At 35.5% G+C, this 17480-nt stretch overlaps 1 long non-coding RNA gene across 1 annotated transcript, besides 2 other annotated features; it reads right to left on the reverse strand.

The window, feature by feature from the left end:
* Positions 1-2535: 2535 nt before the first annotated feature.
* LOC124901025 (uncharacterized) lies at positions 2536-9701 on the reverse strand. The gene is made up of 2 exons (XR_007058868.1): positions 8361-9701; positions 2536-2675 (listed from the first exon to the last, which is right to left on the reverse strand). It is a non-coding gene; the product is annotated as an uncharacterized LOC124901025 (long non-coding RNA).
* Positions 12191-13390: an enhancer, noted in NCBI's record as "P300/CBP strongly-dependent group 1 enhancer chr5:92413889-92415088 (GRCh37/hg19 assembly coordinates)". NCBI's record gives its function as "activates an origin of replication core promoter dependent on BRD2, BRD4, P300/CBP, MED14 and CDK7 cofactors, with strong dependence on P300/CBP, by STARR-seq in HCT116 cells {active_cell/tissue: HCT116}" and the evidence as "EXISTENCE:reporter gene assay evidence [ECO:0000049][PMID:35650434]".
* Positions 12905-12954: a silencer, noted in NCBI's record as "silent region_16174". NCBI's record gives its function as "represses an Ori minimal core promoter by ATAC-STARR-seq in GM12878 lymphoblastoid cells {active_cell/tissue: GM12878}" and the evidence as "EXISTENCE:reporter gene assay evidence [ECO:0000049][PMID:35858748]".

The following is a 17480-nucleotide window of genomic DNA, read 5'->3' on the forward strand; positions in this document are numbered from 1 at the left end:
GGAGGTGAGCGTACAGGCTAGCAAGAGAAGCTTTATCTGCATTTACAGCCCCTCCCCATCACCCCCATTATGGCCTGAGCTCCACCTCCTATCAGATCAGCTGCAGCATTAGATTCTCATAGGAGTATGAATCCTATTGTGAACTTTGCATGCAAGACAGCTGGGTTGTGCACTCCTTATGATAATCTAATACCTGATGATCTGTCACTATCTCCCATTACCCCCACATGGGACCATCCAGTTGCGGGAAAACAAGCTCAGGGCTCCCACTGATTCTACATCATGGTGAGTTATATAATCATTTTATTACATATTACAATGTAATAATAATAGAAATAAAGTGCACAATAAATATAATGCATGTGAATCATCCCAAAATCATCCCCCCAACCCCCATCTGTGGAAAAATTGTCTTCCACGAAACCGGTCTCTGGTGTCAAAAAGCTTGGAAACCACTGCTGTAGGGCACTCATTGTGCCATTTCCTGGCTACAAGAAATTAGTCTGAACCAGATGACATCTCTTATTTTCCTAAATAAGAATGAATAATAAGGCCAGGCACAGTGGCTTAGACCTATAATCCCAGCACTTTGGGAGGCCAAGGTGGAAGGATGGCTTCAGGCAAGGAGTTCAAGAAGAGCCTGGCAACATAGCAAGACCCCATCTTTAAAAAAGGCACAGCCAGTCATGGTGGCACACACCTGCAGTCCTAGCTACTCAGGAGGCTGAGGCAGGAAGATCACTTGAGCCCAAGAGTTTGAGGTTGCAGTGAGCTATGACAGCATCATATTTGGATATGTCATCCAGAAAAATAATCCACACGTTTGGCTTTCTAAAGAATCATCTCTGTTTTGGAGATCATGCATGTTACACAAGGCAGGTAGACAAAGTGAGTATTTTGGGTGATAGAACTTAGATGACAGAATAAGAATGATGAAATTATATAAAAGTGAATAAGGAATATTGTAATTTAAAATTCTTAATTCTACAAGTTCAAAATGGGAGAAACCAGTTTAACTGTTGCTAATTTTATTTTGTTATACTTTTTTTATTTCACTTTATTACTTTTTGGAAAGTTGGCAACAATTGGGAATAAGCCAAAAACATTTTTATGTAGGTGTGGAAAGCTGAACACAGCCACAGACTTGAAGAAGAGAGGTATCTAGCCAGAACAAGAGAAGTAATAACTCCCTTACTTTATATACACTGCAGACCCAATCTAGGCATCCCATTTTAAAAATAACATCAATAAACAATAAACGACTCAACATTTTGATCTCTTAGTGCTTTTACCTTTTCATTTTCGACAACCTGTCCTCCAATTGTCCTTAGCCATCTACTCCCAGGGATGGTAGGAAGCAGAGTGAGATGGGATCTGTAGATGGTTGGCCTATGTTGATGCTCTTGCCTTACACTACTGGTTTTCAACCCTGGGGGCACATTAGCATTTACCTGAAAAGGCCCCACATTAAAATAATTAAAACAGGTTTGGAGGGAGACATGGGGAGAGAGCAGGGAAATTTTTAAATTTCAGATGTTTCCAATGTTCGAGAATCAGAATCACTGCCCTCAACAGATCCTATGCACTTTGTGAACAGGGATTGGTATTTCCCTGGCTTTACAGATTAGATCTGAAAGAGGTATGCTTTACTGAATTCATGTTACTTTCCAATTCTGATTTATTAAGACAAAGTGAAAAAATATACTAAGCTATTTAGGAATTATATTCTTGATCCTTTCCCAAAAACCTTTATTTACACCCCAAGAATTGTATACACATCATTTATCAGAGAAGAGGAGAATGTATTTGAAAGAATACTTAGGAAATATTTTTAAAGAAGCTTTCAAATCCAGTACTTTAAGTAAAAATCAATGACAGGTCTGATACTAAAAGTATTCAGTGATTTACATATAAACATTTTACAATAAAAATGTGACCTAGGACTACCTCAGTGTAACAATTTATTATTAAAAATGAATGTAAGAAAAATGTTTTAGCATGGTATTTTTGAATTACAAACATGTACTTCAGGGTTGAATGTCTTAGCGGAATGAGAGAAAAAGTTAGTCTCACATGCATAGGCTGATGATAGAAGAAGACAGAAAGGATGCAATTAAATGTAAAATAAATATATACTTTGTTTTCTTAAAGATGAAGCAAGTGTTTAAAACTGTGGTAGATCTTTTAATCTGTTGCTATGCCAACAGAAAAATTTTAAATGGATCCAAGAAATGGGACAATTTTCAGGAATATAAGCACAACCTATTTCAGATAAGTAAAACTGTATTCATATTATCCCCCCAAGGGGATAGAGTCTTGAGGGAATTAGTGCAGAATTAATTGCTCAGGTTTCTCCCCCAAACCACAGCAGTCATAAGGCATAGAATCTCACGCTATATTTTTCTGATATCTAGATCTGGATTTAGGTTAAACTTTTTCAGGATTGTGGGAAATGCTGTTCCCCAGTTTGTAGTTAGCAGGACAGCATGTTTCTACCATTTTAAGACTGATTAACACACACACAAGAGACAAAAGTCCATAAATCGTGAACTGTATTTCTTAGACAATACCGAGATGACATAGCTTTCAAATATAAAAACATCTTAATAAAATATATCTCATATGCAAATTACCAGCATGCTTTTTGAGTCAGACAAAGACAGGCATTGTTTTTCCTGAAAAGAAAAACAAAGATTAAAATGAAGGATGACCTGAAATCTATAACTTATAGAAAACAGAAATTATAAATTTGCTCAAATTTTATTCATGTAAGATAATATTTTAACTATACATTGATCAACTTCTTCACAGCTTTCTCACAAGTAAATATAAGCAAGCATTTCTTTTTTTAAGAGAAAGTTGTTTTGTTTCAATTGTAAAAATACATTTCTGAAAATATTTTAATACATCCAGAGAGTCTTTCCTTAGCTTTACAGCAAGGCAGGAATAGATTGCCTCAGCAAAATAAAGATGAAAATTTAGTTCAACTGCCTTTCCTGAAGGTATTTCTGTAAAGAAAGAAATAGATAATTCACAGTAATTAAAAAGTATTTTCAATTAAATGCTTGTCTGTATGGGTGAGTCTGCCTTATTGCCTATGAGAGATAAAGCCCCTACTTCAGCTTCTTTTCAAATGTTTATTTTTAAATGGCTTAATTATCAAATGGAGCCACTATGAACAACAATTTCTTATCATATTTTTTATTTTATACTGAAGATGAGAAAACATCTGAAACTGGGTAGCATAAGGGGAGCAGTGGCATTCCTTTTTTCCACTAGGTTTCTATCATCTATCTTTAGGTTTTGCTTTATTTTTTAAATATGTGGAGCTGAGCTGATCCACAAATACACTGTTTGAGCTCATCTTTAAATCCTGAGCATATTCACAGAAAGGAAGATTGCCTGTTGGCTACTGCGTATCACCCAGTTTCACTTTGTCTTTGTTTTCTGAAGAGTGTGCCTCTACTATCACTCACATTAATATTACGTAATAAATGACAGCCTTATCATTACATTAACACTCTTTAGCAGTCAGCTAAGGTGACTGCATTTATCTAATAAATAGGAGCTCCAATTACACTTATTTCTGCATTTAATGTATACCATTTCTTGGACTATCCAGATATCACATGGTACAATTGTAGCCTAGACTAGTTACCAAAAAAAAAAATAGGGGATTTGGTGAATATACACAATCATCGTATCCTTAGACGTGCCTGATTGTCTAGTTCTATGTCACAAACTGTGTACCCATACAAAACAAGACAACAGATGCATTTTGGAAGATGTTCATGAGTGTGGTTGAATACACACAGAAAAATCTGATCTACACTAATGGCATTCAAACTTTTTAACAGAGAATTTCCTCAAATGGAAACTTTCTGGGCAGAGCCCAACATATAACTTAGATAATCAGGCAACAATGACTCTTGGGGGCTCTTCTGGCCCCCAAGATACCTCCAAGAATCCTAGCACAGTGCTGAGGATAGCTTGGAAGACCACCGGCTTTAATTTTCATCATATTCTTTTATATTCTTTCATCATATTTTTTCAAAGTTTGCCCTTTCAATAGGGAGTACTACATATTTCAGTCTGTAAAGATTTGGACACTCCTTCACCATCTCAGTTATAGTAGCCATGATTTATCTGGATCTTCTATCTCAAGTTTTTCTCAACTTCTCTATACCTCCATTTTCTCATCTGTAAAATGGAGATTATAGTAGTACCTAACATACAAATATTATTTTGATGCATTTGTAACATAATTTATATAATTAATATTTTAATATAATATAAAGATATTAAATAGTTGTATAATAAAATATATTTTAATTTACATTAAAAGTTCTTTGGACAATAAGCAGTAAAGCATTTATCAAATTAAAAAATTGCTTACATGAAGATGATGTGGTTTTATCAGTGTGTAAGCAATGTTTGTGTGTGTGTGTGCGGGGGCGGGGGGCGGGGGAGGGGAGAGAGAGAGAGAGTCTCTCTCTGTCACCCAGGCTGCAGTGCAGTGGTACAATTACAGCTCACTTCTGCTCTCTGCATCTCTCCAGGCTCAGGTGATCCTCCCACTTCAGCTTCCTGAGTAGCTAGGACCACAGGCACATACAACCACACCCAGATAACTTCTGTATTTTTTTGTAGAGACAGGATTTCATTATGCTGCCCAGGCGGGTCTTGAACTCCTGAGCTCGAGCAATCCTCCTGCCTCGGCCTCTCAAAGTGCTGGGAGTACAGATATGACCCACTGCACCCAGCTGCAACATTTTTTTATAAAAGGCCAAAATGCTGTTTTCTATTCTGTTTCCAATTTTATTTGTGTAGGCCAGTTCATATTCTGTTGATTTCCAAGATGGAATTATATCAATGCTAAGTGAAAGTATTCAGGAAAAAATAGTTCACAGAGCTTTCGTTTTCCAAAAATGGACTTAGGGGCTCAGCTACACATACGAAGATCTTTGGGGTTCTTTTGTTCCTCACTCTTGCCCCAGTCAATCTCATTTGCCACTCAGTTGCGTACACTACACTGTAGCTTGTTCTCTCATCAGTTGGGTCTGTTAGAACCCTGAGGAGTTTAATATCATCTCTAAACCTGGTGATTTCATTGTTTACTTTCAGAACATTTATAGCATGTTAAATATGGCAGCAGCCCCAGGCCTTCAGAGACGCCTCTGTTTTAACTTCCGTCTCCGACATTTTGTTTACTTTGTGTCCTTTAATGAGGACTGGAATCGTGATTGGCTTAACTCTTAAGGATGCTCCCAAGGATCTTTTTCTTGGGAATGAGGAGGAAGGAAGAAAATAATTTGTGTAAAAATTCCTTAGAGGTTTAGATATCTAGAGAAACATGAAAGAAAAAAAATTAAATACATGAAAGCAAAGGGCCCCAATCCAGAATTAAGGCAAGTGCTCAGCTGCCAGAGATATCAGATTGTCTTACTTCCTGGGTTTTTTGTCATAAAACACATTTTTTTTTCTGTTTTTACTAGACCTAAATGCTGTTTAAGGTATCCCTCATTTAATGGCAAAAGCAATTCAGACCACGGAACAGAGACCTTGAGGAATTCATGATTAAAACCTAAGTTTTATGTAAGAACATACAATACACTATCCGAATTTTGAGGCTTTCACACCAAAATCATATTCCCACAAATTTCCTAACTGGATCATTGATTTGGTATCTTGAGTATTTCAAACAGAAACTCTTCATATTTTTTCTATTCACTTTAGGGGTAAAAAAATTAAAAACACAACAAACTTTTCAAAGCAATAAATCCTGCCACTTCAATGTGCTTTAAAAAATTATTTTCTTTAAATACTGTTGTTTAAAAAAGACTTACTCTAGAGAGACATCCGTTATTGAATAGTCAGAATGGGAATTGATAGAAAACATTCTAAATTGGGTGGGTTAAATTTTGCTTAAGGAGAAGTGAGAGTAAAGCCTGAAAAGGTTGCTTTTCTCACTACATTCTGGCTATCTGAAGTCATTGTGTGGAAGCACAAGAATCTTAGGTAATAATTTGAAGTATACAATTTAATTCTTTAATTCAACAGATGTTTATTAAGCACATAATATGTGAAAGTTGCTGTGCTAGATGTTATACTAGACTCTTTGGGAGGTGCACCAATGTAAAAATCATTATTGATAGGATTCCCTCAAGGAACATACAATCTAGTGAAGAAAATGTCACATGTTCATAAATAACTATAGTAATAATGTCTACTGCTTATTGAGGGCTATATCCTAAGTGCCTTACCTATATCAATGCACTGAATCTCCACTACAACCTTAAGGTTTATACTGAGGAAGGAAACCAAGGCACAAAGAAGTTAAGTGACTTGTCCAAAAACCAGTCTTATTAGTAATAGAGGCTGTAGCTCTGGAGGGTTATTGGTGCTGGCAATGAAGACTAAATGTCATCATGTAGAAGTGATCATTGGAACTGTGGGAATACACTGAATTACTACCGGAGGGAAAGATCTAGGGTTACATGGGGAGGTAAGGGGACACGACATCTGCAAGACAGGAGAAGGAAGAAAACTGACTGAAATAGAGAAGACATAGTCATAAAGCCAGAAAATAGAATCCAATAGCATTATCCAAGAAGGCAAGGAAAGATCTTAATGACTGGATAGCCAAAATGTCAAATGCTACATTTTTTAGCATACAAAAAAGAAACATCATGTGCTTTTAAAGACATACAAAAAAGCAAAAATTCTATCCACATTGATTCTTTGAATGTCAGTTACTTAGTCATACAACCTATCCTGGGAAATAACACCATAAAACATTATAACAAAGTGTATATGGACTTGGAGTGGTCCCTAGTGAGGAAAAAAATTAAAACAGATTTGTATTTATTGAAAAATGTTATTAAAATTTTATAGAATGCTAAGCATGTTAATACTTTGTTTTTTCCAATACACATCTGAGAATTTAAAGAGAAAACAAATATTTCCTTTACAAATACAACATAAGTCTTTACAGTAGTATGTCATGTGACATGGCTTCAGTTAATCAAATGTAGGTCCCGGTGCATGTGCAGATAGATGCACATACTAAAGTTCCATATCCAGATAATTTTCTGGAGTGAGTAAAAATCACCGTAGTGACAGACCATTAGCCCAGGCCTCTCAATGCATCTTTTCAACAAAATGTGCACTTTGCCAAATAAAAAATAAAAAAATTAAAAATTAAATTAAAAAAGCTGTGGGCCAATTGTCTTCAGAGTTTCTGGTTTCTCTCCAACTCAGACACACTCATCCTATCACCCTAATGACTCACCCACTCCTTCGCAATTTTAACACACATACCATATCCCAGATATTAAAATTATACTTCCTGAGTTCAATAAAATGTACTGAAAGCAGAATTAAAGTACACTAATTGTGTTTTTAAAATAAGTTACATCTGATTTTTAAAACAACAAACTTGCTCTTTCCTCATGCAAAACCAAAATGCTTCTCCCAAAAAGAGACCTCCTTTCTCTCTGTCCTGCTTAACACCCTTTCCCTCCTTTTTCCTGCCTCTGTTTTTCTGCCTTTGTTATTCTCTGTAAAACTGAATATACACATCGCATTGATATTTCTTGCTAATGATAGCAATATGTATCCTGGAGGGTTTTGTAGCTGGCCTGTCTCTCCTGTGGCAGTTGTAGGTAAATCTGATTGGAATTTCTATACCCATCTAAATAGATCCTTTCTCATCTTGCCCCTAGGCCTCTGAGGTGTGGAATCCAATCTGTGGTGTGTTCCGATGCTGCTCAGTGATAAGGCAGGAGCAAGATTAGATGTGTTCTGAACTGTATTCATGTTCTCTCTTTTTAGTTGCCTAGGAGAAGGAAGAAATCTTCAGAAAAAATATTTTAGAAAATCTTTTCTGAATTGATATGTAGTGCATTTCTCCTTTTTTATACAAGGTGACAGCGTGCGTGAGATGTAAAGATGAGTTTGCTCAGGCAATTACCCCTTGTTGATAGCAGATTATTTCCTCTGGCAACTCGAAAATAACTTGTTGGTATATAAGTTACTGCTGTTCTGGGGATGTAGTAATTTACTCTCCTGCCTTTTTTATGAGCACATTTATTTTAATCAGTAGAGTTCAGAATAGCTCTTTTTCATCTAACTCCATCTCTTTTGGAGTTATGCACCTTCTAACACATAATGAAGGAAGGTCCTTTTGCGCACACAGGAGAAAAGAGGTATGATATATTGCTGGAAAAATGGTCTTTGCACGGGAAATCATATCCCATGATCTTTTTTGTCCATGTTAAAAACACAACACTTGTTCTCCACAGCTCCAGCCCAAATTATTTTTCTGATGAAAACAATGAAAACCTCACCAAGTAACTCACCATTATCTTTCATCGTGGGGACCGATAACATGGAATAGTTACACATGTAGGATGAAGAAGAACATGAAAGAATTCAGGTCAGCAAAACCTATACAACTTTTAAGAAATATTGCAGGTTATATACCTCACTGAATGCCTGTAAGATAAAAGCAAGCCAGAGAGTTTAACTGCCTCACCATTTTGCAGATGAAGTAAAGGGTCCAGAAAAGAAAAACACTTTTCCATGGCACCCAGGAACTTTGATGGGGACCAAACAAATACTGTGATAAAGGTCCTTCACCTCTCCCATTGGCCCCTAGCCATCCCCTTACAGAACTTTTGCTATTTCTAAACAAGTATAGAGAAAGCAAAATTCATTTTCTAACATTAATCCCTAGTTGGCTAAGCCTTGGTTACTCCACATGTGTTACTTATCATGAAAGTTCAGTATATGATAAAGAGGTGGATCATTTAATTTTTCTCCAGTACATAATAACAATGACAAAATTAGTGACTTCACCACTTGGGTCTTTTCTAGAAAAGGGCAAAGTTTGGCTGATGGAGCACAGACACCAAAACCTGAGAGCCTGTATTCTTGACAATCTCTACTTCTGACCACTTAGATTCTTGTTACTCCATTCTCCCAGTCATAAAACACTAGGCAGTAACTTTCCTCTCATCATGAGGATTATTAACAGGACAAAGGAAGACTATGGATGTGGAAGAATCTGGCTTTCTTGAAAATTCAGGGACTGTCATTTCAAAGCATTACTTCTTTGTACTTCTTCCATGGAATGTTTTCATTTAAGTGAAAATAGAACATCAGAAATAATTTTTTGTTGAGAAAAAAATAAGAAAAAGAGCAAAAACAAGAACTGCAAGATTATTTTACAAAAATTTCTGTGATTTTTTATAGAGATCATATCTGGGCAAATCAGGAGGATAAGTAAAATCAACTGTCCTAATTTATAAAGCCAATGCAACACAAGTTCACATCAGTCCACATTGTGAACTGCGTCTGTGCATTAAATATATTAATAATTGAACAGTACAGCAGGAAAAGTTTTAAGGGCTTTTTTCAAGTAGAAATTCTCATCTATGCCTAGCACTAAATTCAGTAAATTTTCTTTCCATACATAAGGTGGTTGTCCAAATCTGTGCTGAAGTAGAAATTCATGGCATGTATTTTTAATATTTCAAAAGTAGTGAGTTTGCAAATCTACTTTTCTTAACAAATTGTAACCAAACCTAGAAACATATACTAAATAGGTGCTCAGTCCTCTATGAACTCTCTTCCAATAAAAAGGGGAGAGTGGCGGCACACACCTGTAGTCCCAGCTATTTGGGAGGCTGAGGCAGGAGGATTGGTTGAGCCCAGGAGTTCTCGAGCCAGCCTTGGCAACATAGTGAGATCCATCCCTGAAAAAAAGAAAAGAAATTGTATATATATTTGCTTGTGCAATAAACTAATATTGAATATTATACAATTTGACTCATGTGGCCTTCTCTGTCTAGGTTTTCATGGGTATAAACAATTTAAATTTTAATATATTATAAATATTATTTTATTATTTGACCAATATTTAAAAGTAATGAAATTAGTGAGAAATATTTTATTTTGATGATATAATTGTCAAGCACTTTGTCAATAAGAAGCTCTGTACAAGCTTCAAATAATTTAAAGAAGCAAAATTATTTAATGTGTAAATTCAGACATTAAAATTTGGGGGGTTCATATTATAATTTCCTGACTAAATTAAGTCATGAACAGCAAAAAGAATAATGCGCACACAAAAATTGAGCTTCCTTATAGAGATTCCAGGAAAAAAATAAATGAAATAGATAAAATAACATACAAAGCCACAAAGAGTGATGATTTTGCAAGGGAGAACACTATCTCATCTTATTCATTAAAAAATGTGAAGAACACTTACTCATCTCTGAAAAAATAGTTTATTTTCTTCTATCTGGAATTTCCTCTCGTATCACTGCTATAAGCAGGTTTTTCACCAAAGGGCTGGTTTCTTAAGTGACTCAACCTAATCATTTTAAGCCCAATTCAACTATATAGAATATAATGATTGTCAATAGGAAGAGTTAAATATTGGTCTTAATAAAACTTTAAATGATATAATTAGCCTGACAACTTATTACATTTAAGCATATCAACCTGCCGATATTTATTTACAAGAATTAAAATTACAAAAATTATAAAGATGCTTCTACATTACCACCATTACTTTGGAATACTTGATATTGGTTCCAAAATAGTGACAGGTTTAAATATCGTCAGCTACATTAAGGTCTGTTCAAAAAGTACATGAGTTTTGAACAGTGTATAGGCAAAAAACAAATTACTAATATATAACACATCTTGCATCAAAACATAGCTTCTAGCCGCAGCAGTTAGGGCAGCACAGGCCAGGAATCTTCTAAGAAAGAACATTATGCAACAAAGCGCCACCACTCGGACTGGGTGATAGAGAGCTAGCTGCAACTGTTAGTGTTTTCTCTTTCTTCTTCCTTTTTTTTTTAATATACAGAAGGATTGTACATATATTTGGGGAACATGTGATGGTCTAACACATGCACACAATGTGTAATGATGAACCAGGGTATTTAGGATATCTTTCTTGTTGTTTGTGAGTGATGGTGCTGAGGAGGACTGGAATCAAGCTCAGGAGAAACTCCATGTACTAGAGGAAAAAAGAAATTCCATCTACTTAGTAATGAAAAGAATAGTCTCTGAAGCCAAGAAGCTTGGTTAGAATGTCAGGGCTACCCCTTACCAGCTGGTGACCTTGGGCAGTTTTTGGAATGTCTTAGCCTTGGTAATCCCTTCTATGAAAAAAAAAAAAAAAAGGAGGAGAAAGAGAACATATAGAGGTAAATGAAAAAAATAGTCTCCCATCTATAAAGGGATAATAGCCTTGTGTGAAGATTAAATAAATTAGTACCTATAAAATGCTTAGAAGAATGCCTGGTAGATAGTAATTTCTCAGTAAATGTTAGCTAATATAGCAAAGGCAAAACATAAAGCAAGAGAAGTAGCATGGCAACAGCAATAATCTTCCATTTCCAGAGAACATGAAATGTTTTAGTGTAAGGAAAGGCTGATCTATTTTTGAAGGAGGCAGCACAGTTTAGTGGAAAGCATCAGGAAAAATCTTGAGTTTTCATCTATCCTGTTTCTACCAGTACCTTGCTGCGTGGCCTTGTCCCACTTAACATCTGTGCACCTCATTGTTCTTATCAAGAAACTAAGAAATTTCAATTTGATGATTTCTAGGGCTTCTTTCAACTCTAAACATCTTCTAGTCATAATACCTAGAGGATAATCTGGCAGCCATTGCATGGTTTATGCTCATAGGAGGAGTATTTCAGGTGTCTCTTTCTACTTCTCAAAGGGCCAGATGAGCAACCAGAAGTACATGAAGACTGGTATATTGCAGTGAAATAGAATTAAGCCCTCAAATGGAATGTCATTTAATTCCTACACTGTAAAAACTGCATGTATGTGTTCTTACGCATCTATACCTTCAAATTACATGTACCAAAGAGTGGTGTACCTTATATTGGTTCTCTGATAGAATAAATTCCCACCACATAGTGAATTTTTAAACTGAGATGCTTATTCTATTTCATTATAATGTGTAAACTGTTACTTTATACTCAACTACCCTGAGGTAAATTGAAGATGGGTATACAAAATGAAACTATTCCTCTAATAAAATCACTGACATGTTAAGAGGGTTCCCATTTTAGTTATTTATGCTGTTTTCTTTCATTTTTAAAGATGACACTACCCTTTATTACACATTCTGAATGTGTGTGTTATACTTGTACGACACATTTTCTTTCCATGACCCATTAAAGTAGCATAATGCTTTCTATATTCATGCATCTCTTAGCACACAACCTATGGTTTTAAATATTTTTGCATTCTTTCTCAGAAGGGAAAAAAATGGGTTTCATAGTGAAAGAAAAAACTTGGCCAATTATGTCATTTTTATCTCATTTTCAGTTTCGACCTAGCATTATCTTAGGCTTAGTAGTAACAAATGATAAAATGACAAATAAATTCTGACATTCTCTGCATAATCTACATTCTTGGCCATCGAATCTTCATTTTACCAGCCTCTTAAGAAATGTTTAAGAAAAAGAAAAAAGAAAACCTCAAACATGACTGCCAATCTAACCCATTCCATTCTGTGTGTCATGCTGCCGAAGCAGCACTTGGAATCTAGAAGTACCAAGTGCCACAATTCGTCTCCTTGTGACTCATGGCACCAGATGACAAGCAATCCTCTGTCCTTCAGCAGCACCAGAAACAGTGGAGGATCCGTGTGGGTGTTCACAGCGTTGTGAATAGATCTAGTGGGAGGCAAGAGTCCAAGGCTCAGGCTTCCTGCACGTACCACCATCCTGACAGATGGCATATTCTTGGCCAGAATCCAAGGACCTTGGTCACCGAGTGAACTTTCCCTGACTCTGTGCTATGTCGATATCCCAGACACACAGGGACACAGGCCTTGCTTATGAATCATTCTGCTAGAAGCTGCCTCTATGTGTGTTTTCTGAATGAATGTTCATAAAGGTATTTTGCCTAAACCAAGTAAGACTGTTCAGCACTTTGTCACACAATTACCGTGGGTTGTATCAACACAGAAAGTGTGTTTTATAATTTAGTCATAATGAATTTTTTGACCCATAAATCAATAAACCTGTTACAGACTGAATAATAATATTTGCTTCCTGAAAGCATGTATGATATCAACAAGGTCGCAGTTTACTGTCATTTTTAATAGGGAGAAAAAATCTGTACTCAAGGGGCATTTAACATATTTTGACAAGGTGACCCACAATTATCCATTAACACTGTATTTGTCTAAGCCCTACTGCATTGATATGCAGGGACCATGTAATAGTTCATTGATGTCCCACTTGGGGGTGGAGCATAAGGCAAGTGGGACCTTTCCAAGGTCTTTCACAGCCAGAATGCATCTTGCTATTGCTGTATTGATTAAACATTTGGATAGTTAATCAAAACAGCTCAGCCCTGTTAACCTGCCACGTGCAGTATACAAAAGAAAGAAAGAAAGGCCTCTAAGAGAAGCCATGAGGCTGTATTTTTCTTATTTTCAAATTTGATAAAATATATCTTTTCAGACAATAGGATTATAGTAAAATATTATAAAGCATTCAACTTCATCTTGAATTGAAAGACTTGTGGACTTTTCTGTTCATTTCTCAACATTTTTAAAGATTTACTTTGACAAAAATTGTGTATATTTATGGGGTACAATGTGAGGTTTTGATGTGAGGTTTTGATGTAGATATTACAGAAAGATTAAATCAAGCTAAATAACATATATATCACATCACCAACTTATTTTTTGTGATGAGAATGTTAAAAATCTATTCTTTCAGTGATTTTGAAATATACGATACATTATTATTAACCATAGTCAGAAACTAGTGAAATAGATGGCTAGAATTTGTTCCTCCAATCTAACTGAAACTTTGTACACTTTGATCAATATTTTACCTTTCTCTCTGTCTCTCTTTTCCCCACACCCCAGCCCCAGCCTATGGTAATGAACTTTCTACTGTCTTTGTCTATGAGATCAACATTTTTAGATTCCACATACAAGTGAGATCAAACAGTATTTGTCTTTCTGTGCCTGCCTTATTTCACTTAGCATAATGTCCTCCAATTTTATCCATATTATTGCAAATGACAGAATGTCCTTTTGTAAGGCTGAATAGTATTTCATTGTGAATATATACCACATTTTCTTCATCCAGTCATCTATTAATGGGTGTTGCTTCCATATTTTGGAGATTGTGAATAATGCTGCATAAGCAAAGGAGTATAGATAACTCTTTGACATACTGATTTTAATTCCTTTGGATATATAACCAGAAGTGTCATTGCTGTATCATAGATTAATTCAATTTTCATTTTTTTCAGGAGCCTCCATACTGTTTTCCAAAGTGGCTATACTAATTAACATTCCCACCAACAGAGTACAACCGTACTCTTTTCTCCACGTTTGCCAACACTTGTTATCGTTTGTCTTTTTCAGAGCAGCCATTCTAACAAGTATGAGGTGATATTTCATGGTGATTTTAATTTGCTTTTTCCTTATGATTAGAGATGCTGACCATTTTTTAAATATTTGTGTTGGCCATTCATAACTCTTCTCTTGAGAAGGTCTGTTCAGACCATTTGGCCATTTTTTTTTAACTGGGTTTCTTGCTTTCTTGCTATTAAGTTGTTTGAGTTCCCTATATATTTTTGATATTAGCTCCTTATCAGATGTATGGTTTGCAAATACTTTCTCCCAATCCATGGGAGAGTATCTCTTCACCCTGTTGTTTCCTTTGTTGTCTAGAAGTTTTTTAGTTTGATGAAATCCCATTTCTATTTTCCCTTTTGTTGCCTGTGCTTTTGGAGTTCTGTCTAAAAACACCATTGCTCAGATCAATGTCAGGGAGCTTTCCCCTATGTTTCTGTTTTCTTTTTCCTTTTTTTTTTTTTTTTTTTTTTGAGATAGAGTCTCTCTCTGTCACCCAGGCTGGAGAGCAGTGGTGCAATCTTGGCTCACTGCAACCTCCACCTCCTGGGTTCAAGTGATTCCCCTGCCTCAGCCTCCTGAATAGAGCTGGAATTACAGGCATGTGCTAGCATACCTAGCCGAATTTTGTATTTTTAGTAAAGATGGTGTTTTGACATGTTGACCAGTCTGGTCTTGAACTCTTGGTCTCAAGTGATGTGCCTGCCTTGGCCTCTCAAAGTGCTGGGATTACAGACGTTGAGCCAACATGCCCAGCCTTCCCTATATTTTATTCTAGTAATTTTATAGTTTCAGGTCTTAATGTTTAAGTCTTTCATCCATTTTGAGTTTATTTTGGTATATCATATGAGATATGGGTCCAATTTTATTCTTCTGCAAGTAGATATCCTGCTTTCTCAGCATCATTTATTGACAAGTCTATCCTTTTCCCATTGTGTATTCATGGAAACTTTGTCAAAAATCAATTGATTGTAAGTACTTGAGTTTATTTCTGGGATTTCTAACCTGTTCCTTTGGTTGATGTGTCTGTTTTTATTCCATTAACGTGCCTGTCTCTGCTTGCTGATAACATAATCTTATATATAGGAAACCCTAAAAATTCCACCAAAAAATGTTCAACTGAAAAACAAATTCGGTAAAGTTACAGGTTAAAAAATCAACATATAAAAATCAGTAACATTACTATATACTAACAATGAACTATCCAAACAATAAAAATAAGAAAACAATCCTATTTACAATAACATCAAAAATAAAATACTTAGGATTAAAGTTAACCAAGGAAGTGAGAGATCTATCTATATACTAAAAACCATAAAACACTGTAAAGGAAATTGAAGAAGATACAAATAAATGAAAAGATATTTCATGTTCACGAATTGGAAGAATTAACATTGTTAAAATGTCCATACTACCCAAAGCAATCTACAAGTTGGATACAATTCCTATCAAAATTTCAATGTCATTTTTCACAGAAATAGAAAAAAATTCCTAAAATTTGTATGAAACCAGAGATGACCCTGACTATTCAAAGAAATCTTGAGCAAAAAGAACAAAATTATAGGCATCGTGCTCCCTATTTCAAAACATATTATAAAACTTTTGTAATAAAAACATTTCTTGACATTTTAAGTGGGTTAAAATCTCACATCTTTGCCAGAATTGAGTCATGTTCTTTACACCCATCTAAGTTCAGTGCACCCTCAGTTTCCTCTTTAGTTAGAATACTCTTGATATTCAAAATTGGAGGCCCCCATTTGGGACTCACTGGTTCATTTCTACCCCCTAGATTTTCCCTTCTTGTCACATGAGCCAATATTCTCAGACCCTCTTTCCTCATGTCTAATCTCAAACAATCTCAATGTTTCGTTTCCTTTGTTAAGAATATAAAGTTATCAGAATTTATTTTTATACATATAAAACCTTCAATTTTGCTTCCCTTTCTTTCTTCTGTTAAATCTTTTGTCCTCAACTGATTTTTCTTATAACTGAATCGTTCTAATTTTCATTTAGGAGACCACCAATCCCTGCCATTCTCCCCTTCAGCTTCTTATCAACCAATAAGTAGCACAGTTATACACCATTCACCTCACATTCTGCCATACATATCTGTTTAGGACTTCCAATTATATCCTCAATCCATCGTACATAATAATCATGTACAGTTGTGGTTATTTACACTCTAAGTATTTCACCTGTTCACTTTGTTTAACAATTTCTAACACAAATCAATTTTTCATAAAGTTGTTTGATCATAAGAATCATCAACTCCAATTAGACCTACTTATCATTATATCCAAGAGTAGGACCTAAAAATGTGTAGTTTAACAAGCACCTAGGGAAGTTCTTAGGGTCAGGAAAATCTGTAGTCCAGTGACTTAATCCATTCTTCATCCATTTGTTCTGTAAAGCCAAATATACACCAAGTGATAATTAAAAATGCATCTATAACAAGATTTTATTTCATTAAGTACAATTATTGAGCACTTTCTATGTGCAGTAATTTACATATGTTATCTCATTTACCTTGCTGCTAAGTTCATCCTGATTTTGCTTTTTATTGGGATGTACATGATTGTGTGTGTGTGCAAGTGTGTGTGTGCACAATTATATTACATAGATTGTAATGTCTATTTTGAGAAAAGATTTTCTCTCCCTTTTTGGCTTTGACAAAGCAAGTTGCCATGTTGGGAGTTGCCATATGGAGAGAGGTCACAGAGTGGCCCTCCGCCAACAAGCAACAAGAAACTGAGACCCTCAGTTTGGCAGCCTGCAAAGCATTGAATGCTGCCAACATTCATGTGAGCTTGAAAGCAGATCCTTCCCTGGGCGAGTCTCAGATGAAACTGCAGCCCCAGCCAACACCTTGATTGCAGCTTTGTGAAACCCTGAAGCACAGAACTCAGCTAAACTGTTCCCAGACTGCTAAAATCCATGGCAACTGTGAGATAATAAACATGTTAATTTTAGAATTTGTAGTAGTATTATTACACAGTAACAGATAACTAATACATAATACTTTTATTTCATAGCCATTGTTATTTCGAGTCCCATAACCTTT

Source organism: Homo sapiens, chromosome 5 (assembly GCF_000001405.40).
Source record: "Homo sapiens chromosome 5, GRCh38.p14 Primary Assembly".
Classification (NCBI taxonomy): Eukaryota; Metazoa; Chordata; class Mammalia; order Primates; family Hominidae; genus Homo; species Homo sapiens.